Genomic DNA, 26,827 nt, shown 5'->3' on the forward strand with positions numbered 1-26,827 from the left:
TGTAGGGGTCGACGATGGGTGCGCCCCTTCCTCCCCGCAGCCCCATAGGCCCCGTGGAGGAAAGGGGTGGAGAGGCCCGCCCAGAGACCGAGGCTGCGAGTGTGCGCTGGCTGTTGATTGCCAAGGCTTCAGGCACGCCTGGCCTCCACTTCCAGTGGTCTTTCCCTTTCTTTTTCTTCCTTCCTTTCCTTCTTTCTTCTCTTTTCTTTCTCTGTTTTTATACAGACAAGGGGGCTGGCTCTGTCGCCTAGGCTGGAGTGCAATGGCGCGACCACAGCTCACTGCAGCCTGGAACTCGTGGGCTCAGGAGATCCTCCCGCCTCAGCCTCCCGAGTAGCTGGGACTGACTGTAGGCACACGACACCACGCTGGCTAATTTAATTTATTATTATTATTATTATTATTATTATTATTATTATTATTACTATTACTATTTGTAGAGACGGGGTCTCCCTATGTTGCCCAAGGTGGTCTTGAACTCCTGGTTTCAAGCAATCCGCCCGCCTCGGCTTCCCAAAGTGCCGGGATTACAGGCATGAGCCACCGGGTCCGCCGCTCAGGTGTTTTTAAAGGACGTAGACCCGGTGGTGATTGTTGTGGGACGATGAAAGGGTCCGGCCCCAAGATCGATGTAGTTTAGGGAAATATCTTTTCCCAAGGAATGTCTCCGAGTTTACAAGATGAGCGCCAAGGTCACGCCCCCCGCCCTCCCTCACAGCCCTCTGTTCACAGCAGCACCGTTCTCTTGTGGCCGGTTTTGTTGCTTTTCTGCTTAGCAGCCTCCCTCACAGAACCGTGATCCCCCCACCCCACACATCCCTTTCCCCGCTTCCTCCCGCACTCCTCTTCTTCCAGCAGGTGTTTACAGAACATCCACGGAGTTTGGGCCAAGCCCAGAGTGAGGAGCTGGGCACTGGGGTGGCAGAAGACCAGGCCTTGCCTTGAGCCCTTGTGCGAGCTTTACCTCAAAGCCTCTGTAATCGAAGTGGGAGAAGGGGTGGTGGTGCGTGGTTGGTCTCAGCCACCTCCACCACTCCTCAGAAGATGAACGCTGGATCCAGGAAGAGATTGTCAAGGTTACTATCTGCCTCTCTTTTTTGATCATTTTATCCAATTTGTTAATGGATACAAATTTGTTAATGGATTGTTAATAGATCTGAATTTATTTAAAGCCAATAAAGATTCTCCTCTGGCTGAATGATCCAGAAGGAACTCACACCCCAGAATGGACACAGGATTTCTGCACCCTCTTGGGGGAACTTAATGCCCAAAACATCAGAGCCAGGCACTGGACAAGCCTTTGTCCGCCTCACGGCTTTAACCGTGCTACTCAGCATTCTTGCTGTGACCAAGTTTTACCAGGGCAAAATCTTTCCCACATTTTCACACTTCTCTTGACCTATTTTAGTAATGCTAAGCAGTGGTTATGGACAGTATTCTTTGTACTTTGGAAAGGTTTCAGGAACTGGTAGTCAGTTGCCGGTAAATTTTAGGGCTAAAGTGTAACATTACTTGGTATTACTTTCACTGATAAATTTTATTTTGTGGGGATGTCTCCTTGCTTTAAATAGAAAGCTTTGCTCTGTTCCAACTATCGCTTAAAAAAATTGTATGGAACACATTTTGCTCACACTCTTTCAAAATCTGACTTAAAACAATTTCCAGAGAAATAATCTGAGGTTTAGCCGGTACTGGATTATAGTAAAACATGGCCTAATAAATTACATAACATTTGGGTTAACACCCAGTATTTTTTTTTTTTTGAGAACACGTCAGGGAAGCCATATAATTGTACCTGAACACACTAGCGTTTAGCAATACTAAGCCTGCACCAACCTGTTTTCTTTCTCATCTTAACCTGTCTCCAAAGAGTATATCTCTTCAGAGCAACCAGTGCTTTGACCAGACTCTTTATCATTAATCAAATTTCATTCATTCAACACATATTTATTAAATGCCCACCATATTTTAGATATTGTATTTTGACTTCAAAGTGCCTGTAGTTTAGTGGAGAAGAAAGACTAAGAGGCAATGTAAATAGCGTATAGGTGTTAAAATATGGGCCTCAAGAACTGCATGGTCTAGGATTTTATCCCACTTACAAACTAACAAGTTGGCCTGTTACTGTTTCATGGATGCTGTCAAAAGATACAACACTCCTGTATCAAAGAACTTTATTATTCACTGCAAAAGCAGTAGCCAGAGCTTTATGTTGGTTTGCTTTTTGTTCCTAAGCCTCCCAAGCCCTGTGGGGACAGTGCACACAGACTATGATGGATGCCTGAAGTGGGTTGCATTACAAGAGAGGAGCACTGAGCTAAAGGAATTTGCCTCTTTTAGGCTACACAGAATTAAGCCTGCTCTTTGAAGGTGGGGAGATGTTATCTCATCCCTCAAACGTTGCTTGCTACAAACACCGCCCAGAGAAATGGACTGATAAAGAGCTGGACATTGGAGTGGCAGAACAGCAAGAATGATCAGAGAAGTTCAAGGGCCATGGCAGAGAGCCTTTTCCAACATAGTACAGTGTACTTATACACTACATATGAAGGCCAGCTAATCTAGTCTTGGGAGAACCAAGAGAGGCTTCTGAAAGAGATGACATCTATGCCGAACCTTGAAGGTCAAACAGGAATCAGCCACATAAAGAGAAGGAGGAGAGCATTCTGGATAGCAGGAACATCATGTATAAAACTTTGAAGTAAACGATACACTCCGAGAAGTTTTTCATTCCCTTTCACATTCATCTCCATATTGAACTCCAATCTCAAACACCTATAATTAAAGTCAGTGTGTGACTCTGGAAGGTCTAGATTCAATACACTTCTGTGAATTGCAGTGGCCTCTGGAATCTTTACATTAATGTCACATAAAATTCACAGCTAATTATTGTCGACTCAGTTCATAACATTTCCACCTTTTCGGTAACTCTTCTTTTTTTACTCCACAGTCCGCCTGGTTAACAGTGAGGCTTTGTAACAGCATAACTTTAACTATGGCTACAGTTTATTGGCTCCTATTTTGGAAACTGACTCATGCTGAACTAATCCCCTTTCCCTGGGAGTTTAAAATCAAGGTTAGGAGATTTTTAACGTACCGACTGCTCTCCAACAGCAGCATTATAACCTTTGCTATTTTTTTCCCTTGTATTCTGAAAATAGAAGAGAAATACAGAAAACTCTCTGGGTTATGTATAGTGCACTAGAGTCTGGTACAGTTCATGAGCAGCGTCTCTATCTCTGGTTTCTGAGACATCCTTGCATCCTTATAATAAATTCCTCTTTAACTTTAGAAATTGTGTAATTTTCTTTCTTTAATTTTTATTTATTCATTTATTTTATTTTATTTTGATGGACTCTCGCTCTGTCAGCCAGGCTGGAGTGGCACCCAGCCACTCTCGATCTGTCACCCATATCTACAATGGCGAGATCTTGGCTCATTGAACCTCTGTCTCCCAGGTTCAAGCGATTCTCCTGCCTCAGCCTCCTGCCGAGCCTGCAGGTGCACCCCACCACACCTGGCTAATTTTTGTAGAAATTGTCTAATTTTCCATGTCACCAATGAATAAAAAAACGTACATAGGGTTAGACAAGATTAGATCCTATAAAATGCACAAAACTTTATTTTAATAATTTCAATAATATTTATTCAACCCACCCTTTATATCATGACTTTATGGCATGCATTATGCAAGGTATTGGGTATATAAACTCAGTCCCTGCCCTTCCATGTATTACAGTCTATAGGGTACATTTTAGACTGTGAGACTATTGGTTTAAATATTAACTTCCATCCAGAACCAATTTCCTCCAAAACATTCCACCTTGAAACAATCAATTGTGCCCAGATTCTTAGGGTTGTATAAGAACATTGATTCTTCCACAGTCAACATATGGCCTGAAGGGAGGGGATGTCAGTTTCCAGAGCAAAGAAAAAGGGTCTGCTGGGCAATCATATCAGTACCTACTACATCTCTTCAAAACATTTCTAGAATGGAATTGTAGTTTCCAGACTGGAAAGATGACATAATCTAGAAAGGATGATTGGGGAAAAGAACATGGGCCTAGAGGGAAACTTAGTGCTGGCATTTATATTATTAAAACACAATGTTTTGTAGAATCAAGTATGATCATCAATTTTTTTTTTTTGAAACAGATTCTCACTCTGTCACCCAGACTAGAGGGCAGTGGCACAATCTCAGCTCACTGCAACCTCCGCCTCCTGGGTTCAAGAGATTCTCCTGCCTCAGCCTCCCAAGTAGCTGGAACTATAGGCGTGCACCCTGATGCCGGGTAATTTTTTATTTTTAGTAGAGACAGGTTTTCACCATGTTGGCTAGGCTGGTCTTGAACTCCTGACCTCAAGTGATCCACCTGCCTCGGGCTCCCAAAGTGCTGAGATTACAGGTGTGAGCCACTGCGCCCAGCCAAATCATCAATTTTTTAAGAAAGAAAAGTAATTTATTAAATATTCTCCTGTACAGAAATCCTTTAAAAACGTATATTTAGTTTTTAATCTGTACACCCCCGATAAATAGTTGCACTTAAGTACATGAATAATAATAATTATTCTCATTTATTTATATTTTTCTATATATATGTATATGTGTGTATATTTACAGTTTCTTCTTTGGAGGAAAGAAACTTCTCTCTCTTTTCTCCTGTTCTTGAACATCCTCTCCCCCAACACCTGTCTACAAAACAACCAACATTAATAACCAATGTGTCCCTCCATGTGTACACATGCATATGCAGGTTTCTTGGTGAATGCTTTACAAAAATGGAATTTTACATTTCTCCCTCAACAGTACCTCATGGAAATTCTTCTAAGTCAACTTAGTGACATTGAAAATTAGACAATTTCTAAAGCAAAAGAGGAATTTTCAATGGCTTTTCAATATTACATATGTAAATGTTCTATAATATATTCAGTCATTTCTTAATCAGGTATTAACTTTGTTTCCAGGTTTTGCCACAACAAACATTGTAGCAATAAAAATCCTACATGCAAGTCTATACATACTAGTGTTTTTATTTCTATAGGAGCAATTTCTGGACCAAATGAAGGTAGTGATTCAGGATATCGGCCCACTTGATGTCTTGATTCAGCATCTTCCTGGTCATAACAGAGACAGCAGCCCCCTTGGCAGGTCCAATTCTGTGGCATGGTTTTTAGAATTGGTCCTGGAATTTCAGCTCAAAATCTATCTCCTTATCCCTATTAATGAGTTTGTGAGCAAAATTTACAATTTAATGGATCTTTTCCTTCTTTCTTTCCTTCCTTTCTCTCTCTCTCTTTCTTTTTCGTCCTTCTTCTTTCTTTTTTTTTTTTTTTTTGAGATGGAGTCTCACTTTGTCATCCAGGCTGAAGTGTGGTGGCATGATCTCCACTCACTGCAGCCTCTGCCTCCTGGTTTCAAGCGATTCTCCTGCCTCAATTTCCCCAGTAGCTGGGATTACAGGTACCCACTACCACAGCTGGTTAATTTTTGTATTTTTAGTAGAGATGGGGTTTTGCCATGTTGGCCAGTCTGGTCTTGAACTCCTGACCTCAAGTGATCTGCCTGCCTTGGCCAAAGTGCTGGGATTACAGGCATGAGCCACTGCACCCAGCCTCCAACAGATCTTTTTCTATTTGAACCAGCTAGAGAGGATTCTATTGTCTATCACTAAAAATCCTAGCTGATCCACTGTATTTTAAATTTTAATAAAGGACAGTAAAACTATTTTGAATAAAATGCTGTTGACATTCTCCTGTCCTTGATAGAAAAAGGGCTTTGGGTTGCTTTTCCAGAAAAGGTAAAAGATTAGTACAAATCTATTAATTAATTTGCTTGGGGGAAATTAACATTGCATGACTTATATTCAACTAGAGAGACCTGCTTATCTTTCATCAGTGCTACTGGACAGTAGATGCCCCAGCTCCATGTAGCTCCCTCTTCCTGAGACAGAGTCTCACTCTGTTGCCTAGGCTGGAGTGCAGCTGTGCGATCTTGGCTCACTGCAACCTCTGCCTTCCGAGTTCGAGTGATTCTCCTGCTTCAGCCTCCAAGTAACTGGGATTACAGGTGTATGCCACCATGCCCGGCTAATTTTTGTATTTTAGTAGAGGCGGGGTTTCACCATATTGGCCAGGCTAGGCTGGTCTCGAACTCCTGAGCTCAGGTGATTTACCCGCCTTGGCCTCCCAAAGTGCTGGGATTACAGGTGTCAGCCATAACACCTGGCCCCTCTTCCTTTATAAATGTGTGAATCTCCAGAAAGAAATGTCAGACCTTCTTCATTCCTCTCCTATTATGCAACAAAGCACATTGATTTCCTGATGTTGGTTCGTTGCTTTTTGGGTACAAATAAGAAAGAAGCAAGCCACTGTTTTTTTAAAAACCACCTATATGGCAGATCTCATTCAACAGCCATAAGAGAGACTGGTTTGAAAACTTATGCCTCCCCTGAGCCCCCTACATTTTATATTTTTCCTGAAACTTTCACACTTAAAAATAATCATTTGGGCTGGGCACGGTGGCTCACGCCTGTAATCCCAGCACTTTGGGGGGCCAAGGTGGGTGGATCATGAGGTCAGGAGTTCGAGACCAGACTGACCAACATGGTGAAACCCCATCTCTACTAAAAATACAAAGATTAGCTGTGAGTGGTGGTGCATGCCTATAATCCCTGCTACTCAGGATGTTGAGGCAGGAGAATTGCTTGAACCTGGGAGGCAGAGGTTGCAGTGAGCCAAGATCATGCCACTGCACTCCAGCCTGGGCAATAGAGCAAGACTCCATCTCAATAAATAAATAAATAAATAAATAAATAAATAATCATTTGAGGATATGAATAAAAACCAAATCAAATAGTGCATCTGTTTAAGTCATTTATTTCAATACAGGCATTGTTTTAAATTTGCACCTTGTCTTTAACACATTTCATAACCAGAGAACAGGTCTGAGAACAAGTACATAAAAGGATTATTTGACAAAGTTTTAACAAAAGTGCTTACAGCTTATTTGTTTCAGATATACAGAACTGCCAGTCACAAAGAGCCACTAAGTGGCAATACAGCCACAAACTTGCCTGGGAAGTAAAATATTTTACATATTTACACTGTACATTTAAATGGGATATTCTGAAGCATTATTATTATCAATAAACTCTAAGCAAGAAGTTCTCTTAAACCCTCTGGCACTTAACAAAGAATATTAATTTTATGGGGCTATGAGTTTTACAGTTTGATTCCCATCTTTGCCATAACCTAAATGGATTTTTACCCCCTCCAGTACACATATTTACCTCCTACACAAAGTAGCTGTTATTAGCTTATCACCAACCAAACCTTTGTTAGTAGCAGTTGGAATTTTGTTGGCATCAATGTATTTACAATGTAGGAGTAAATTATTTAGAGGGGAGTCTCTAAAAATTAAAATAACTTCATTAAACCCTATTTTAAACAGACTTTACAGTATAAAATTTATGGTTATAGAAATCTAGTATCTAAACAAGTTTATAATTTATAAGGTATTTATTACGATTGATTCCCCTATGATTTACTCCATTTACATGAATGTTTATTTTAATAATGACTATATCTTTCAGAAAACAAGTTATGAATATAAAAATGACTATTATAAGTTACCATAGCTATACCAAAAATGAACATTAAAATGCAGCGACTTGTATGTTAAAATACATAGAAATTTGCTATACTTCTTTAACAAGTGCTTTATAAAAGTATAAAATTATAAAAGGTGCTATTTTCATGAATTTTGTGTTTTCCTGATACTTCAGCCAGACCAACATGCAAACGTTACAAATAGAGCAACTGAACACTGGCCATCAATTACCTTTGAATTTAAACAGTACATTCCAGCGCAGTCTGGGCCCCAAAGCAGTTTCACCCTTACCTAACTTACCTAACTCTTAATATAGCCTAAACTCACTGAAAAATAAGCTAACTTCATTTCACCTTTTGTAGCATACACGTAGACTCAGAGTATATACTGAAATATAATTTGAAAGCTGATCATTAAAAAAATCAAGAACCTCAATATTAAAATATTAACTCTGAGTATCTTAAAATTGCATAGAAAATGTAGGTCATGGTTTATTAAAGTTTTACTTAAATAATCAGATAAATAGGGCTGGCGAGGTGGCTCATGCCTATAATCCCAGCAGTTTGGGAGGCTGAGGCAGGCGGATCACCTGAGGTCAGGAGTTCGAAACCAGCCTGGCCAACATGGCGAAACCCCGTCTCTGCTAAAAATACAAAAATTAGCTGGGCGTGGTGGTGGGCACCTGTAATCCCAGCTACTCGGGAAGCTGAGGCAGGAGAATCGCTTGAACCTGGGAGGCGGAGGTTGCAGTGAGCCGAGATTGCGCCATTGCACTCCAGCCTGGGCAACAGAGTGAGACTCTGTCTCAAAGAAAATAATAATAATAATAATAATAATCAGATAAATAGAAAAAGAGGAAAGGCAGAATTTACAAACATATATTAACCAAGAAATAGTGTTATTTATTCTTTACCATACAAATTTGCATTGAAAAGTTCACAATATTTGATTTTTGAGCTTTCTGAGCTCAGGATTGGTCAGAGCTTGAAGTTTAAAATAGTTGACAGATTTAGGGAATAGCTTTCATGTTAGTTACCGCATGTTCATTAGCTTTGAGTTGCATGGGAACCATGTAAAGTAACCCACGCATTTTGCGTCTATGTAAGGGAATGATTAGAAGGATAACAACAACATAGTTCTTTCTTAACTCTCTATCAGTTCCAGATCTCTATACACTTCACCAACATCTATCATTATTCTTAGTTTATAATGATGAAACAGACTAGGTATAAAAAATGGAAAATTAGATTAGGTCGCGAAGCAAATATAAACCAAGCAAGATAAAATCCACTCATGTTGACTATCATAGTATTGAGATCCAGGAATCCATGCTGTCTGTAGTTAAAGCAGATTATCTTCACTGCCATCTATTGGTCTTTATCCTGAATTAGGAGAGAAATCCCCCGAGGTTCTGCATGGCAAATAAAGAGTTAGGAAAGCCAAAATATCAGTGGGTATCATAAGTGATTTACTCTAGATAAATCACTGAATCATAGTGACAAGCCCTTAGGAGCTCTGCCTTAGAATTTCCCAAGGGTTTCGTAGATGATCCTGCAGCAAAGAATGAATTCCAGGGTGTCAGATCTGACTTGATGGCATTTTAGGGACTTGGCCAAGGTTCCCACTTGATATTTGGGACTAAAATGCCCCACCTGAAAAGAAGCGTTCTACCTTGCAATTAAAGAAAATGTGGGCCAGGCACGGTGGCTCATGCCTGTAATCCCAGCAGTTTGGGAGGCCGAGGTGGGCAGATCACCTGAGGTCAGAAGTTTGAGACCAGCCTGGCCAACCTGGTGAAACTCCAACTCTACTAAAAATACCAAAAAAAAAAAAAAAAAAAAAAAAATTAGCCAGGTGTGGTGGTGGGTGCCTGTAGTCCCAGCTACTTGGGAGGCTGAGGCAGGAGAATTGCCTGAACTTGGGAGGAGGAGGTTGCAGTAAGCTGAGATCATGCCATTGCACTCTAGCCTGAGCAACAAGAACAAGACTCCACCTCAAAACAAAAACAAAAACAAAACAAAACAAAAAAAGACTGGGCATGGTAGCTCATGCCTGTAATCCTAGCACTCTGGGAGGCTGAAGTGGGCGGATTGCCTGAGCTCAGGAGTTCGAGACCAGCCTGGGCAACACGGTGAAACCCCGTCTCTACTAAAATACAAAAATATTAGCTGGGCGTGGCAGCGTGCGCCTGGGTGCGCCTGTGATCCCAGCTACTCTGGAGGCTGAGGCAGGAGAATCGCTTGAACCCGGGAGGCGGAGGTTGCAGTGAGCCCAGATCATGCCACTGCACTCCAGCCTGGGTGACAGAGCAAAACTCCGTCTCCAAAAAACAAAAACAAAACAAAACCAAACAAAAAACAAAAACAAAAAAAAGAAAATGTGAAAATGGATAGTTCTGAGGAAATGGGAAAAGCCAGTTGCTGAGAGAACTGCAGTAAAGGTAAGTCGGTCCCATGAAGGGATACCTACTTCCTACCTCTGCTCCTCAGCTATGTTCTCTTCATAAGCAGAAATTCTGTGACCAGGCAACTTTCTGTATGGTCAGGTTGCCTGGCCTAAGTCCTTGGCTTGACTAAAAGCCCTTAATAATCCAGCCAGTCCCCCACGGTTTCAGAGGAATTTCTAGGACTGCTAACCTTCTATTGGCTTACTAGGGATTCAGGTCCTAATCTATAACCTCAACATGTGCTTTGACCATGTGCCTCCCAGGCTCCACTACGGATATAACAGGAAGTACTTACAAAATTCCTTTATCTTTTTTTTTTCCTTTTTGCAATCAGTTTCTCAGGTTAAAAAATAAATTCCTTTATCTTTGTTTGAAAGAGAAGATCACCACCTTAAACTTCCTAAATGTTCATGAGTCAAACAGGATGATAATATTTACCCCACTGTTATCATCCCTACCTTTTATTTAATGTCATGAGTATAGGGTGTGGACCGGAAGAAGCAATACAGAGTTTCACAGTTGTGCTGGGTAATTCATAAGTTTTGTATGTGCCTGGGATATTAGGGTTGTAAATCACAATTAAAGATGAAAAATGTTAGGAGGGAAGTAAAGCAGAAAGCCCAAATCAGACAGTGAATCAGGGATTAAGTGGGAGTGGTGGAAAGGCAGGCTAAGAACATTTACAGAGATAGAAAATAGCAGAGACTCTCTCAAAACAAGAATTCATTGTTCTAGCATTCAGGAAGTGTCTATATAGGGTGTGGAGGAAAAAAAAGGAGATGTGGGACATTTCAGAGCAGACACTGCCCAGACTAGATCTTTTATCCTTCCATGCACATGCACATGTACACCTTAGTTCCATTATAAGCTTTTGGTGAAAAAAGTAAAGCATTTTATTGAAAAAGCCTCACAGTTCTGACTCTTTGTCATTTTCATCCAGGTAGTATTCATCATCTGTGGTTGTGTCTGTGTCACAATCTGAGTCCACTGGGTCATCCTCATAGATATTAAGCGGTTCACTTGGAGATAAGCCATCTTCTGGCACCTGACTACTGGGAGAATTTGAGCTTAATGACTCTGAGGGGTTGGGAGGGTTCCTCAAATCATCTTTTAGGAAGCCAGGGTTCTTAAGAAAACTTGGTTTCCATAATCTTCCTTGTGTAAGTGACCTCTTTACATTTTCTAAGAAAGCTAACTGTTGTTCTTTCCCAAAGATCCCATAGTCGATAGGTCTGTATATAGATATTGCAGACCTGGGACCTGTTTTTGTCCCGCTGCGATAAGCCCAACTTTCATTTCCATCACAGGAGGGGAGTTCAGAAAAAGATCTGAATCTTCGACTGTACCCATTGTTGACAGAGAATTCATTCCCAAGGGTCAGTCGACTCAGGGCATTGTCAATAGAAGTGCTTTCAGAAAAATGGCGCTCCCTGACTTTTGGAGGATGGCTTTTTCGTAGTAGATCGCCATGAACATTAATGCTTTTTAAACTCTTTGAACGATAGAGGTGTGGCTCAGGTTCCCACTCCAGAGATGAAGCACTCCTTTGTTGCTGCAGAAAACTGGCCAGTGGACTGCTTACTCTAGATTTCTGTGCAGGCTCCAGTGGAAAAGGAGGGCTCAGCCTCCTCTGATTGTCAGAGAATTCTGCTTCCCTGAGGCTGGTGAATGTGATGGGTGATGGGGCTCCTGATTCTCTTACTAAATTCTGAGCTGCTGTGACGTCTTTAGAATTCTCATGCTTTGATGGTGATTCTGAGACGTTTTTAAACTCATTCTGATGTCGTTGTGAAATGCTGTTAGACTTCTGGTTGCTGACGTGTGTAGAAGGTTCTCTGTTGGGTAGTACAGTAATGGGGAGAAGGTTCTCGGATTTCTTCACATGCTTTCCGTTCTCACTCAACCTGCTTTCGCCAATGGACTCTGCAGATTTTGGAGTAGGCTCAGGGAACAGTGGGTTGCACTCCACTGTGCCAAGAGATAAATGGTCAAAGCCAGATCTGCTTCCACTTTGGGGGAAGATAGTAGCTACATGTCTTCTGGGGCTTACATCTTTAGCTGGGAATTTTCTGCTGGCTTTAGACATGGCTGCCAATCTGTGTTTAACTGAAGATCTATTTTCCCCCTTTACTAGGTCATCCAAGTTGGTTTTATTTTTGTTTCCTTCAGGAAGTGAAGGTTGATCCCAAGCTGACTTCTGCATTTCATCTTCAGCCTTCCTGCTCTCTGTCATATTTGCCTCCTGACTTCTTTGAGGTAATTCTCTTGGTTCAGACTGCAGACTCTCTAAGTTTGGTTCATCTGACTGAGTCTCCTCACCAAGCTGTAGTTTATGCAATGCTGGAGTAAGGGCAAAGACTTGACTCTCTGAGTGAGAAAGTGTTTTATTAGTCATTTTTTGGCAGTTGGTTCCAATGTCCCCTCTGCCTTCCCTAGGCTGTGATCCACTGGAGCCATCACCTACAGCTGTGGATGTGTGATCTTTCTGGGGACACTTGCCACTTCCAGTAAATGGAATGGCTCTACCACTCCCTGTACACTCCCAAGAACTTCTTCTAGTTTGGGAATTTCCAATATTAACTTCTGAAAGAGCTGGAAGACTAGAGGGACCACTGTTACTTGAATTAATGGATTGTTGACAATTTTCAGATTTTTCTTCGGATACATTTTTTCTCTGAAGCATCAATGAAGTATGCAGGGTTTCACTTTGCAACTTTTTGCCTCTTTCCTTCTTGTTTTCTGAATCACCTAGAGGTGTTTTAGCTAAATTATCTGAAAAAATCTCTCTAGCTTTAGATTCCTCTTCAGGAAGAGAAACAGCTGCCTCAACAGAAGCCATTTCCTGTAATGTAGGAGCTAGGGGCCCCCTATTTGATAATCGGAAGGCAGTCATATTTTCAGTGGTGAGCGTCTGATCAGAGTTGACGGACATCTTTAGATTTTCACATGAAGGTGTTCCTGACTGCTCTCGTGTAGAATAATTCTGTTTGTCTTTTTCTAAAGCGTTAGGAAATGTTTCAGTCTCCACTTGAGGTGATTCTATAAGTAAATTAGTATTTTGTGTATACTGTTGAAGGAGGTTACAGAATTTTTTGCTGGGTTTCCTCGGTAGAGTGTAATATATTGAGACCACCTCCAGACATTTTACATTATCTTCATCACCAGAAACAGAAAACGTACTAGTCGTCTTAACTTTATGTAATGTTTTCCCACGTTCTTTTCCTGACAAGTCTGAGCAAAAAGGTAAAGGGTCTTCATTTGAAAGAGCAAATACACTTCTCCTGGAGGCAGCCATTTTACCCTCTTTCTCAGTGTATTCTTGGAAGTTTTCCTTTTGGTGTTGTCTTTTGGTTAAAGAACAATCTCTAACAGATGAGTCACTTTCCACAGGGCTAATGATTCTCTCCCAAGCCCTTGGTGTTAGCTCAGAAGCATCCATGCCTGAGGTCAATGGCTTTTTTCTTCCTTCTCTTCCAGTTGAGGCATGTGGCTCCCCTGAGGGACATGACATAGCCCTGTTGATGAGGAATGGAAGTGGTCCTTTTCTAACGGAAGTAGATCCACTGCTTTTTACATTTGTCATTCTCTCTGTGGCTTCAGGTGCTTCCAGGGCTGAGTCTGAAAGGACTTTGGAACATTCATTCGCTGACTCAGGAGAACTGGGACTAAATTTGTTTAACATATAGTTCCCCATTGCATCTTCCACATTATTTTTGATTTGGAAGGGAGGTGGCCCATTCCTCAATGAAGCAGCCATTATTTTACTTCCTGACTGCCTGCCATGTATGAGAAAACTGCTTGATTTTCTTGGCAAGGTACAATAAATTGTGTCAAGTTCAGAAACTTTGGAATTGCTTTGATTTGCTTCAATGAGGCTCCTGTGATCACTGGTGGGTACTGATATACTTTCTGTTTTGCTTAACTTTTCAATACAGGATATATGATGCCTTATTTTTCCTTTTCCTCTTTCATTCCTAAAAGGAGAGTGTGAATGGCATTTGACATCAACCACTTCATCATGTGTAGGCACAGGACTATCATTTCTCTCTTGGTTTTCTGAGTGGCTTACAATAAACTGATTCTTTTGGTTCTTCCCAGCATTGTCTTTTTCTTCTCTTTCTCCTAGCGATGGATCTTTGTCTGAAGGACTTCTCCTGGAGAACACTGTAGTAGATGGAACCACAGGAGCATCAAGGGAAGAATTCTTTGATGGTGAGGAATCTGGTAGTGCAGCTGATGACAGATCTAAAGAATCACACGAGGTCTTGTGGCCAGGAGTTAACTTGCATTTTGAGTATTGTGCATTTTGAGTATCAGTCAGTGCAGAGCTCCAGTGGTTATTTGTAATAATTCTTGAAATATCTTCATTATTTACAGTTAATTCCTGGTGACAACCTTGGTCTGTCCTGGGGAAAGATGGTGGTGTTCTGTGTTCCTGAATGAAAGGAAGGGAAGCTGTTGAGCCAAGTTTTCTGTTTTCAGTAAACCTCTTATCTTGTTTAATGTCATTGGATTTATCTGTGTGCGGTATATACATTTTGGAGGTATCTTTCCTGGAAAAGACTCTGGGTGACTTTTTTGAACTTATTATGGTAGATGCATTAAAACCAAACCCGTTGCTCTTGGCTGAGTCCTGGGATAAGGGATTTTGAAAATCAGGTAAAGAGTTTGAGATCCCTGTCTGTGAAACAGGTTGGGGTATTTCACCTGCCTTGTTTGTCTGGTCCATCTTGCTTAGCTGTTTGTCTTCTTCTGAAATAGATTCATTTAAGTCTTTCTCATTATTTACTTCTGTGACCAAGATATTGGGCTGGCTTTTGGCAAGAGGCAGAGAGTCAACTGAATTGCTGCTGGTCACAGTGACTTCTGTATGGCTTCTCATTGGATGAGAGGCAGGCTTATTTGGAAAAATTTTCTGCAAAGTGACTGTGGGATTCTGCAAGTTGGGACTCTGAGGATTCCTTCTGTCATCAGAAATCTGGGAAAAGGAAGTTTTGAATGAGGATGCTAGAGTCTGAGCAATTCCAAATGAGGAAGCTTCTTTGTTTATATGTACTTCTACAGGAGAACTGTCCTGTTGACTTACCAACTCACTAGATTTGACGTGATAGCTTGAACCAGTCATGGAGCAAACATTTGGTGTGCCAAAATGAGGAGTCAACTGGGTCTCATTACCATGTGATACCACCATGCTATCCAGTGTGGATCTCTGAAAATCAAACTGCCAAGGATGTGGCTCTTCTTGGCCTCTGGAAACATCTGTTCCATAACCAGAAGAAAATGATTCCCAGTGTTCAGAAGAAACATTATGGCCATGAATGGCTGATACACTATTTGCTTCCATGGAAATCATTTCAAAGTCTCTGTCAGAAGAACTGAATGATTTCCTGCTTCGATGAAAGTCAGACCAGAAAGAATGTCCTTTCTCTTGGCCCCAAAAAGGACCTTGTCCAAATCTCCTCTGTTCTCCGCTTCGTCCAAAGGTATTGCTGAAGAAAGATCTGGTAAATGTGTTGCTTTGATGGTAGAATGGCATGTTCTCTGAGTTCTCAAAAGTGTCGGGACTCATTGCATTCTCCATGGGAGCATTTAAACTAACACGTTGGTAAACATTCTGTGAATGGTACGATTCATATCTCTTATTCTCCTGAAAACCCCTGGGATACACATACTTGTCAGCGGGATCAATTTCCATTGGTGATGGTGCCCTCAGGAACTCTTCCTGGTTCTCCCTGTCTCTAGAGGAATCTGATCTGTTCCATATGATGGATGATAAAGGAGTTCTCTTTGGACTCTGCTGGTGCCTTGGTGGTATAAACCCACTCTTGCTCTGAGTTGTGGCTGGAAAATGTAAGCTTCTTGCTGTGAAATGCCCTGTGGCTGGTAAGGCCGACCGTTGCCTGCTGTCAAAACACAGCGAAGTACTGCCAAAAGTATTCTTTTGCACATAATCTTCTTTAAAGACTCTGGGCTCCCTTGTCCTATACATATCATAAATTGTGCTTGTCCTAGGAGAAAAGGTTTTAAAACCTTCCCTAGGAGTTCCTGGTCTTAGGATGTCATAGATAGACATATTGGAAGTTTCATTATAGTGTTTTTTGTGCCTTTCTGTGATATTACCATGTCTGTTACCACTGGAATAAAAGTGACCGAACTGTGTTCTTGATCCATAGTTGAGGGGTGTTCTGGTATTCACTGAGCTTGCAGACTGTTCCTGAGCCAATTTGCTATCCAAGTCATCTAAAACTGAAAAGAGAATGTGAATCAACCTTTTTCTGTATGTTTTTACAGTTTAATAATAATTTGAGTTATTGAAGGCTCCTTTTCAAGAAACATAATCATTTATAATTTTATTTTTATCATATTATCATGTTATAACATTAATTTTGATTATATTTTTAAGATAGCCTGACTTTTATAAGACTATAGTGAAAATTTCTTTCCTACTTTTTCAAATCACTTTTTTTCAAAGTAAACCTTCCATTAACGCCGTAAGGAAATTGAACTATATTCTTCTAACAATGAATTTTAATCATGTTTTTTTTTAGTGCATCTAAAGTGTATTGAGTTTTTCTAAGATATGGACCAGTAATAAAATGGAATTAATAATGCAGACATTGAATAACTAGACAATTGTTAGTATTATTAAGCCTTGTCTTTCTGTTTCTTTCATGTCACTAGGTTGCTACAATAATTCCAGCTGTGTATACCTCCTGGGATCATAATAGAAATGAACCTCTGTAAGTAGCATATGATTTCTAGGTTGTACTGTTAAGAAAACAGTATTACCACTAAAAGCTTAGCACCTAATTTATGAACATACTTAGTTGGATATATAATATTATTAAATGATATGCCAATGGTAGATTTTTTTTTCTGGAAAAATTAATACCCATTAACACTCCTATAAAACAGCACTTTCTATGTGTCAGGCAGAGTCCTAAACGCTTAATATATTAACTCACTAAGTCGTCACACAAACTTAGAAGGTTGGTCCTATTACTATTCTCATTCTATAATGAGGAAACTGATGCAAGAAGAGATTAAGCAAATTCCTAAGATCACACAGCACTGGGATTTGAACCCAGACAGTCTGTTTCCTGAATCCATGCATACAACCACTGTACAATGCAACCTCTGTGCCATAAAAGCTCACTTTTGGGCCGGGCACGGTGGCTCATGCCTGTAATCCCAGCACTTTGGGAGGCCGAGGCGGGCGGATCACGAGGTCAGGAGATTGAGACCATCCTGGCTAACATGGTGAAACCCCGTCTCCACTAAAAATACAAAAAATTAGCCGGGCGTGGTGGCGGGCGCCTGTAGTCTCAGCTACTCGGGAGGCTGAGGCAGGAGAATGGCGTGAACCCGGGAGGCAGAGCTTGCAGTGAGCCAAGATGGCGCCACTGCACTCCAGCCTGGGCGAAAGAGCGAGACTCCGTCTCAAAAAAAAAAAAAAAAAACCAGAAAAAAAAACTCACTTTTCATATTTTGCTCTTTATGAACCATACAGATGATTTTACTGTGAGACGAGCTCATAGTTTTACAAAGACGTGAAGTTGCTGTTGTCAAATAATGATGACTTTTCTCTCGGTAGCAAAGTCAGGGAGTGGTGTCAAAGTCAGTGCCCAGGGGCCCCCTTACGATAACTGAAGACCTAGACCAAGCCCAGACCCAGGGCTCATGCTCTCTAGGACCACAGCCTCTGTGATCTTAGACAAGCCACAGCATCCTTTTGGTGACACAGTTGGCTTTTCTTTGAATTGTATCCATTTAATTGTACTTGACATGTTTTCCTCAATAAAAACCCATTAGATTTTGAATAGAATCATAATCTTTTGAGGTGTGTAGACTCTCTAAGACCCACTCTATAATAGATATAGTTTACTATATTCATGTTCAATAAATACAAATAAATTACAAATTTTATTTCAACTGTATAATGACAGGAAATGTAAGTGTCTGAGCACACATAAGTGAAATGTACATGCAACATGCCAATTAAGTTAGGGCAGATGCTAAAGGGATTTAAAAAAATCTGTTCTGGATTTTTCCCTATCCTATTTTATTTGCAAGTTGGTGTTATTAAGTTTGTACAACCAAAAGAAAAACTGATCTTGAACATTAAGGATATGTAATTAAGGAATTCTTTTAGGGAATTATCTGTGAATGTTTTAGTGAAAAATATTTATTTACCCCTAGGACCTGAAGTAATTTGTTCCCTATAGCCACAATAAAATAATCAAGCAATGCTGAAGTATAAGGTGGGGCAAAAAACAAAACAAAACAACTGCATAATGAATAAAAATCTATCTTTAAAACAAATTATAATGAAAATCTCTTTGATACCCATTCTCCCTTTCAAGCTGTTTATGTTTTTCTTTCCCCTTAAAGTCTTGGTTGACTACAAGAGCAGAATGTATTTAGAACAGAAAATACAGAAAAGTATAACAATATAAGTAAAATCGCCAGGAATTCTACCTAGAGGTAACCATTCTTAACATCCCCATGACAAGATTTTAAATTAAAGCCACTTAGAATCCCAGATTAACAATGCTGTTTACTCATCACTCCTGACATCAGAAAAATTCCTGTTCTGCTTCTCTACATTAGTTTCAGAAAGGCCACATTATTATTATTTTTTCATTATTTTTTCATTCCATAAACAGTAGCTCTCCTCTTTCAACAAAACCTTCATTTTGGAACAAAGATTTTCCTCTGTTCTCTGCCAGGAAGCATCTTACTGAAGAAGGCCCCTACGTTGACTGTCCAGCTGACTGTCTCTACCCGACTGCTGTCCCACACAATATGGGCCAGGCGATGGTATTGCCTTTGCAAACTAAATGAAGTTCCTCAAAGTGAAGCTGGTGGCGACTTCAGAGTTAACTTTTCAAATGGCCGGGCTTATATAGAATAACCTTTGTAAAAGTAAACTATGATCATATAATAAGATACATGTGCATTTGGAACGCCACTGCTTTTGGAACCTGTCTCAGTTTTTATCATCATACAAGGTTAATTGTCTAATGTCAATTAGATTTTATCACAGTGCATTTGGGTCCTAATCTGGAACAATAAAAGTCTATTAAACAGCAAACTTTGTAGATGTATTTCCTAAAGATGTATTTCCTTTTTACCTGAGGTTAATTTTTTTTTTCTGCTTGCTCTGTCACCCAGGCTGGAGTGCAGTGGCATGATCTCGGCTCATTGCAACCTCCGCCTCCCAGGTTCAAGCACTTCTCCTGCCTCAGCCTCCCAAGTAGCTGAGATTACAGGTGCGTGCCACCATGCCTAGCTAATTTTTGTATTTTCAGTAGAGATGGGGTCTCAAACTCCTGACCCCTAAGGTTAAATATTAAACATTATTACTACTCCATATATTTATCAGTCCATGATTCAAGAATATTTGCTTAGATTATATTTAATCATAAGATTCTTAATACTTGTGTTAATAACATATCAGCATCCTCTTCAAATAAGCTAAACATGAGGATGTAAAAAATAAAGTACAGTGTTTCATATGTTTTGAGTAGTTTGATACAAACTAGTTATTGTTTACTTCCTTTAGTTATCAGTAGTTGCAAAGGCAATTTAATGCATGAACTTACCTTGGAAAAACTCATTCTCCAGCAGTGAAGCATCCCACGGTGGAGGCATGCCACTCTCCTCCCTCATGACTGCTGGCTTTGGGACAAATGTACTGTCAACTAGATGATTTTCCAGAGGTGAATTGTATATTTTTGCCTGCTAATTTTAAAGCAGAGAACACAATATTATTTCTGAGCCTTCACCAGTCAAAATACTCACACGCTCCCACCAAACTGTCCCAAGCTTAAAAGTATTAGTCTAAGGACTGCAAATCCATTTTTCTAATATTTATTTCTCAATTTATAATGTGTTGTTTTTGCCATTTGTAACTGACCTGCAACTTCTCTATACCTACATTAATTATTTCAGTGATAAGCCTTCAGGCAAGGTACTGAGCCTCTCTCTGCCAAGTTTCCTACGAACTTACACAGCACTGTCAGAGGCGTTTGAATCAGGGCAACTCCATCTCGAATAGGGGCTGGGTAAAATAAGGCTGAGACCTACTGGGCTGCATTCCCAGCCGGTTAAGGCATTCTAAGTCACAGGATGAGACTGGAGGTCGGCACGAGGTACAGGTCATAAAGATCTTGCTGATAAAACACGTTGCACTAACGAAGCCGGCTAAAACCCACCAATACCAAGATGGCAACAAGACTGACCTCTCTGGTCGTCCTAACTGCTACACTCCTGCCAGCACCATGACAGTTTCAAATGGCATGGCAACATCAGGAAGTTACTCTATATGGGCTAAAAAGGGGAGGCATGAATAACCCACCCCTTGTTTAGCATAATACCATCAAAAAATAATCATAAAAATGGGCAACCAGCAACCCTTGGGGCTGCTCTATGAAGTAGCCATTCTTTTATTCCTTTACTTTCTTAATAAACTTGCTTTCACTTTACGGACTCGCCCTGAATTCTTTCTTGTGCGAGATCCAAGAACCCTCTCTTGGGGTCTGGATCCAGTATTACTTTTCTGGTAATATCTTCCTGGCGACCACGGAAGGGCCAATACTAAGGAAACCTTCCAACCAAAGGCTAACTTTGGGTAAGTGGTGGGGTGTGGTAACAGCATTACACAGATCTTAGTGGGGGTTCCTTGCAGAGAGGAAAGAAATCGACCCCTCTTGAGTTTGGAGTGCTGTCTCCATGGCTCCAATGGCTTGGATTTTGGATTTCCTAACGTTGTACCTATTTTTTCAAGACCCTGTTAGCTAGAACTCGTAGTGGACCTTAAGATTTGTGAACTTGGCCGCGTGCAGTGGCGCACACCTGTAATCCCCGCACTTTGAGAGGCTGAGGTAGGCAGATCACTTGAGGCCAGGAGTTCGAAACCAGCCTGGCCAAAATGGTGAAACCACTGTCTCTACTAAAAATACAAAAATTAGCTGGGTGTGGTGGCGAGTGCCTGTAATCCCAGCTACTCCAGAGGCTGGGCCAGGAGAATAGCTTGAACTCGGAAGGCGGAAGTTGTAGTGAGCTAAAATCATGCCACTGCACACCAGCCTGGGCGACAGAGTGAGACTCTGTCTTGGAAAAAAAGAAAAAAAGAAAAAAAAACCCACAAAAAACCAAAAATACAAAAATTAGCTGGACATGGTGGCAGATGTCTGTAATCCCAGCTACCTGGGAGGGCTGAGGCAGGAGAATCGCTTGAACCCGGGAGGCGGAGGTTGTAGTGAGCTAAGATCGTGCCACTGCACTCCAGGCTGGGAGACAGAGGGAGACTCTGTCTCAAAAAAAAAAAAAAAAAAAAAAAAAAATTGCGAACCTGAGGATTTAGGGGGAAAAATGTGTTTCTATTAGAGGTCATCTAGAATAGGGGTCCCTGACCCCTGGGCCACAGACCGGTACTGGTCTGTGGTATGTTAGAAATCAGGCTGCACAGTGTGGGGTAAAGGGCGAGCATTACCGCCTGAGCTCCGCCTCCAGTCAGATCAGCCCTGGGATTAGGCGTTAGATTCTCACAGGATTGCGAACCCTATTGTGAACTGCACATGCGAGGGATCTAGGTTGTGCTTTCCTTATGAGAATCCAACTAATGCCTGATGATCAGAGGTGGAACAGTTTCATTCCCAAACCATCCACCACCACTTTCTGTGGAAAAGTTCTTTTCCACGAAGTGGGTCCCTGGTGCCAAAAACGGTGGGGACTGCTGATCTAGAATGGTAGAACCCCTCAGATGCCCATAATAAGCTGATCTGGTAGTTCTGCAACAAAGGCACTCAAAAGTTTGATTGTATAAATAATAAATGGCTTTAAAAAAACCTATTGCTAGTTTTTCAATGAAAGGATTTAGGAGAATGATATAGAACTAAATTTGTTTTCCTTTATTATTGTTTTATTTATTCATTTATTTATTTATTTATTTTGAGGCGGAGTCTCCCTCTGTGGCCCAGGCTGGAGTGCAGTGGCGCGATCTGGGCTCTGCACCATCCACCTCCCTGGCTCAAGCAATTCCCCTGCCTCAGCCTCCCGAGTAGCTGGGATTACAGGCGCACGCCACCATGCCTGGCTAATTTTTTTGTATTTTTAGTAGAGATGGGGTTCCACCCTATTGGCCAGACAGGTCTTGAACTCCTGACCTCAGGCAATCCTCCTGCCTCAGCCCCCCAAAGTGCTGGGATTACAGGCATGAGCCACCTCGCCCAGCTATTATTATTATCTTTGTTTACTAACAAATGTTTATCTTTATTTCATAAAATCTAATCACTGCCCTACTTTCAAGCTTTTGTCTTCATAACCTTGCAAACATTATCCACCCCATGCCTTCACTTTCTTGTGCCAAAACTCCATTTGCGTTTCCTCTGTCAAACTGGCTCTGTCACTCATGACTCCACTTTAGCTCATCCTGCACTCATCCACTTCCCTTTCCAGTCTTTATTTTCAGCTCACTCTGCTACCCAGTCCTTGCCTCTTGAATCCCTCTCCCCACCTCAAAATTTCCCTTTCTATTTGACCTTCACCACTATGTTTTGTCTCATCTTTCATGCCTAAGACCACATGTCGATCCTTTCCAAAGCTCCAACTTCTTAATTTCTCCATAACAGGTCTGTCTGATTCCACGGCGCTGGTTCTCTTAACCCCTACATTCCTTACGACCTTGTGTTTTCACTCCTGCTTGTTTTCTTTCTCAAGGTCTAGGTCAGTTATTTCCTACAGAAACCTGCCCAAATTTCATTGACCTATGGTTTTCAGTTCTATGAGCAAGCCACAATTGACTACTCACAAAGGAGATTTATTAATACGGAAGGAGTGCTCCCATGATAACTTATTGGTCACTGAATATGATTTAGCATACTAATATAAAATTCGGAAGTAAACAAATGTTAAAAGCAAAACACAACTATAATGGGATACTGATTAGAGGTAATAAAACCTCAAACTAATCATTTGAGAAATCAGATCAGTTAAAGTTAATTCTTTTTACCCTACATCAAAGTGTTCCCTTTTGTCTGTCCAACTCAGAGGTTACCCTACATCAATAATTGTTAGTATTAGTGATAATAACAATTAGTTACAGATCTTATAAGTCCTTTCTTCTCAAATCTGCAATTTTGGTAGTTGGTGCAAAGTAGATATATCTGATTAAGAGAACAGTAGGCATAATTCTCTCTCGACCATTTAACACCAAACAATCTTTTCTCTATGTATGTAGACCAGTACATTTCTTGTGGCCCCCAGGATCACATTCCTTTGTAATGATAATATACAGTGAAATGAAAAGTACATGAACAGAGGGGTCACGTGAAGAGATGACCCTCTCTAGATTGGGAAGAATCACTACCCTCTAGAGACCCTGAGTATAATTTCCTCTGGTTTTATTTCTGCCCAGACCCTCTACTTCAAGACCTATCCTACTCAACGTGTTCAGGATGCTTTCAACACACAGAGATGTAAATTATATACCTAGCAAGAGAAAATACCGAGGTTTCATTTACACTCAACTGTAACTCTGCAAGGGTGAGGTTAGTGATTTTTTTTTTTTTTAAAAAAGGAACTGTTAGTCAATAGTAGGTATCAGACCTAAAGATTGAAAATTATCACTACCCTATAGACTTCTAATTTTTATTTAAGCTATGTGTGAGATATTATTATTATTGTTGTTAGCAGCAGCAACTAAACATTGATTATTCTAGGCAATGTGTTAAGGGCTTTATGTGGGTTACTTTAGTTCATTTAGTTTTAACTACCCTATGGAGTTGGTACTCTTATTATCCCTACTTTGAGAAAACTGAGGTTTCAAGAGGTCAGGTCATTTGCGTTTGGTCACACTGGTGGAGGGAGGAGTTTCATTTCCAGTTTGTCAGATTCCAGAGCCAATGCTGAAATACCTCATTCTACTCATGATCAAGTTTTGCAGCTCTTGGCTTATTAGTGCATTAAATCCTTGTAGCAGGCATTCTCTGAAGCCAAACACAGGTCATAGAGCTTCTGGGAAGCACCTGAAGTTTCTTGTGACCTAGAAGAGAAGTAAATCTCTCCAGGACCCAGAGCAGACACTGACTGATCCTAATTAGGGCTCAGTTTTGGACTCAGAAGCCCCTCAAAATAATGCTCCGTGCTTTGGAGTTGCCATAAAAGGTGAAGCCTATTTCCCAGCCCTGGCCTAGAGGATAAGGATGTTCAAACACCTTTTTTGCAGCACAATTGTGTCAAAATCCTTTCCAATTTTTTTTTTTTTAAGAGACAGGGACTTGCTCCATCACCCAGGCTGGAGTGCAGTGGTGCAATCACAGCTCACTGTAACCCCGAACTACTGGCTCAAGCAATCCTCCCACCTCAGCCTCTTGAGTAACTGGGGCTATAGATGTGTGCCACCATGCCTAATTTTTTAATTTTTTGTAGAAATGGGTTTGCTATGTTGCCCAGGCTGGTCTCAAACTCCTGGGTGCAAGCAACCCTTTCACCTTGGCATCCTAAAGTGCTGGGATTACAGGCATGAACCACCACGCCCAGCCTCCAACTTTCTTGTATTTGAACAAAATTACTCATTTATTTTTAATATACTTAAAAATATCCTCTCTTACTGAATCCTTATAACAAATTTGTGAATTAAGTAGGAATTATCATTCCCATTTTTTCAGATGAGGAAACTGTATCTCATGCAAGTGCCTTACTGAAGTCACATGAATAATCTATATGGTGGCACTGGCTACTCATACTCATATGATCTGATCCCAAACCCTCTTCTTTCCATTATTTTTTTTTACCGTTATTTCACTAATGTACATATCTTCAGTTAGATGGTAAACTCTCTGAAGAAAGGAAACTTGTCTTAGACATTCCATGCCTTTCATTGTATATGGCATGACACTTTGCACATAGTTATGAATTGATTTATGATATACCAAGGTGGAAAACTAACTATATAAGGCTGTGTGTGGTGGCTCATGTCTGTAATCTCAGCATTTTGGGAGGCCAAGGCGGGCAGATTGCTTGAGCTCCAGAGTTCAAGACCAGCCTGGGCAACATGGTGAAGCCCTGTCTCTACCAAAAATACAAAAACTTAGCAGGCTTGATGGAACATGTCTGTAGTCTCAGCTACTTGGGAGGCTGAGGTGGGAGGATCGCTTAAGCCCTGGGGGCAGATGTTGCAGCAAGCAAAGATTGTGCCACTGCACTCCAGCCTGGGTGACAGAGTGAGACTCCATCTCAAAAAATAGAAAACTAATTATATAAGATTACTAGTATATATTATTAACAGACATTGAGACACTGAAGATTTGTAATATTAGGATTCAGAAAAGCACTTTGGAGGCAGGACAGTATAGTGGTTAAGCACATGAGCTCTACATAGGTTCCAATCCTGGCTCTGCCCATTAATATTTACATGACTTTGGGATTACTAATATATATTATTACAGAAATTGAGACACTGAAGATTTGTAATATTAGGACTCAGAAAAGCATGTTGGAGGCAGGACAGTGTAGTGGTTAAGCACATGAGCTCTACATAGGTTCCAATCCTGGCTCTGCCCATTAATATTTATATGACTTTGGGCAAGTTATCTAATCTCTTTGTACCTTAGTTTCTTTCTTGGTAAAAGGAAAATAACAGCAACAATAACAATACCCATTGCCTAGGGTTGCTGTAAGAATTAGGTGAATTAATATTAATAGTTGTGATGCATTTAGAATGATGTCTAGCACTTAGTAATCCTTATTGTTGCTGCTACTATTCTTTTGTGGTTATAGAGAATTTCCTGGAAGACTCCTGTTGATGCTGGTAGCCAAATGAGGTAGAAAAGTATCCCACAGGATGAGAGGCCATTGCAAAATGCTGGCTTTCAGGATCTCAGTTACATGGTACATAAAATAGGCTGAAGAAAATGAGGTCTTTTACACAACTCCAATTCACTCCACTGATACTGTCTGTGATTCTGACCTGACTAGACAAACAAACCTCTGTCATAGAGTAGCCTTAGAGTACTTGAGAACTTCCTAGGGCAGCCAAACCTGTAGAACAGCTGTCAGAGCTGAAGCCTAAACTCACTGATGTTATCAAATGCCTTGGTAAAATCAACAAATTAAATTTTCAAGGTGTTCCTGAATTTGTTCCATGTCTGTTCTCCTGCACAGGTCATATCCACCAATGTAGCTGCAACTTAAAACCACTCATTCATTTCTTCTTTCAATTACTGAGTGTTCAGTTTGTGCCAGGCAGTGGGGATACACAGCCTGATATGGTTCGGTTGTGTCCCCAACCAAATCTCATCTTGAACTGTAGCTCCTATAATTCCCACGTGTTGTGGGAGGGACCCAGTGGGCGATGACTGAATCACGGGGGCGGTTTCCCCCATACTGTTCTCGTGGTAGTGAATAAGTCTCATGAGATCTGATGGTTTTATAAGAGGTTTTCCCTTTAGCTTGGCTCTCATTCTCTCTTGCTTGCCACCATGTAAGATGTGACTTTCACCTTCCGCCATGATTGTGAGGCCTCCCCAGCCACATGGGACTGTGAGTCCATTAAGCCCCTTTTTCTTTAAATTACCCAGTCTTGGGTATCTCTTTATCAGCAGCATGAAAACAAACTAATACACAGGCCCTGCCTGAGGAGCCCACACCAATCTGGACAAAAAGCCCAGTGTAAGAAGTGCCACATTGGAGGTGTGTTCCTAAGGGTACAGAGCTGGCAGTATCACTGGACAGTAGCCAGAGTTTGTTCAGAGATAAGGAGTAGTCAA

General features: G+C 40.9%; 1 protein-coding gene and 1 long non-coding RNA gene across 26 annotated transcripts in view; one reads left to right on the top strand and one right to left on the bottom strand.

Annotated features, from left to right (window-relative positions):
• On the top strand, positions 438 to 19,149 carry LOC112267909 (uncharacterized). 2 transcript variants are annotated; one of them, XR_007062880.1, is made up of 3 exons: positions 487 to 1,076; positions 16,737 to 16,795; positions 18,785 to 19,149. It is a non-coding gene; the product is annotated as an uncharacterized LOC112267909 (long non-coding RNA). The 2 variants fall into 2 exon arrangements; XR_947995.3 differs by lacking the exons at positions 16,737 to 16,795; positions 18,785 to 19,149 and adding an exon at positions 2,236 to 3,291 and having other exon boundaries at positions 438 to 1,076.
• EXPH5 (exophilin 5) overlaps positions 6,861 to 26,827 on the bottom strand; it is a 102,102-nt gene continuing 82,135 nt past the window's right edge. For 17 of the 24 annotated variants that reach the window (XM_017017397.2, NM_001308019.2, NM_001441070.1 and 14 more), the window contains 2 exons: positions 19,661 to 19,799; positions 6,861 to 16,301 (listed from right to left, as the gene is read on the bottom strand). In XM_017017397.2, the coding sequence (XP_016872886.2) occupies positions 10,963 to 16,301; positions 19,661 to 19,799 (5,478 nt within the window). In that variant the 3' untranslated portion in view covers positions 6,861 to 10,962. The remainder of the gene's footprint in view (positions 16,302 to 19,660; positions 19,800 to 26,827) is intronic. The other 7 variants (XM_017017398.2, NM_001441060.1, NM_001441059.1 and 4 more) reach the window with 1 other exon arrangement.

The sequence above is a fragment of the Homo sapiens genome, chromosome 11 (genome assembly GCF_000001405.40).
Source record: "Homo sapiens chromosome 11, GRCh38.p14 Primary Assembly".
Taxonomy (NCBI): Eukaryota; Metazoa; Chordata; class Mammalia; order Primates; family Hominidae; genus Homo; species Homo sapiens.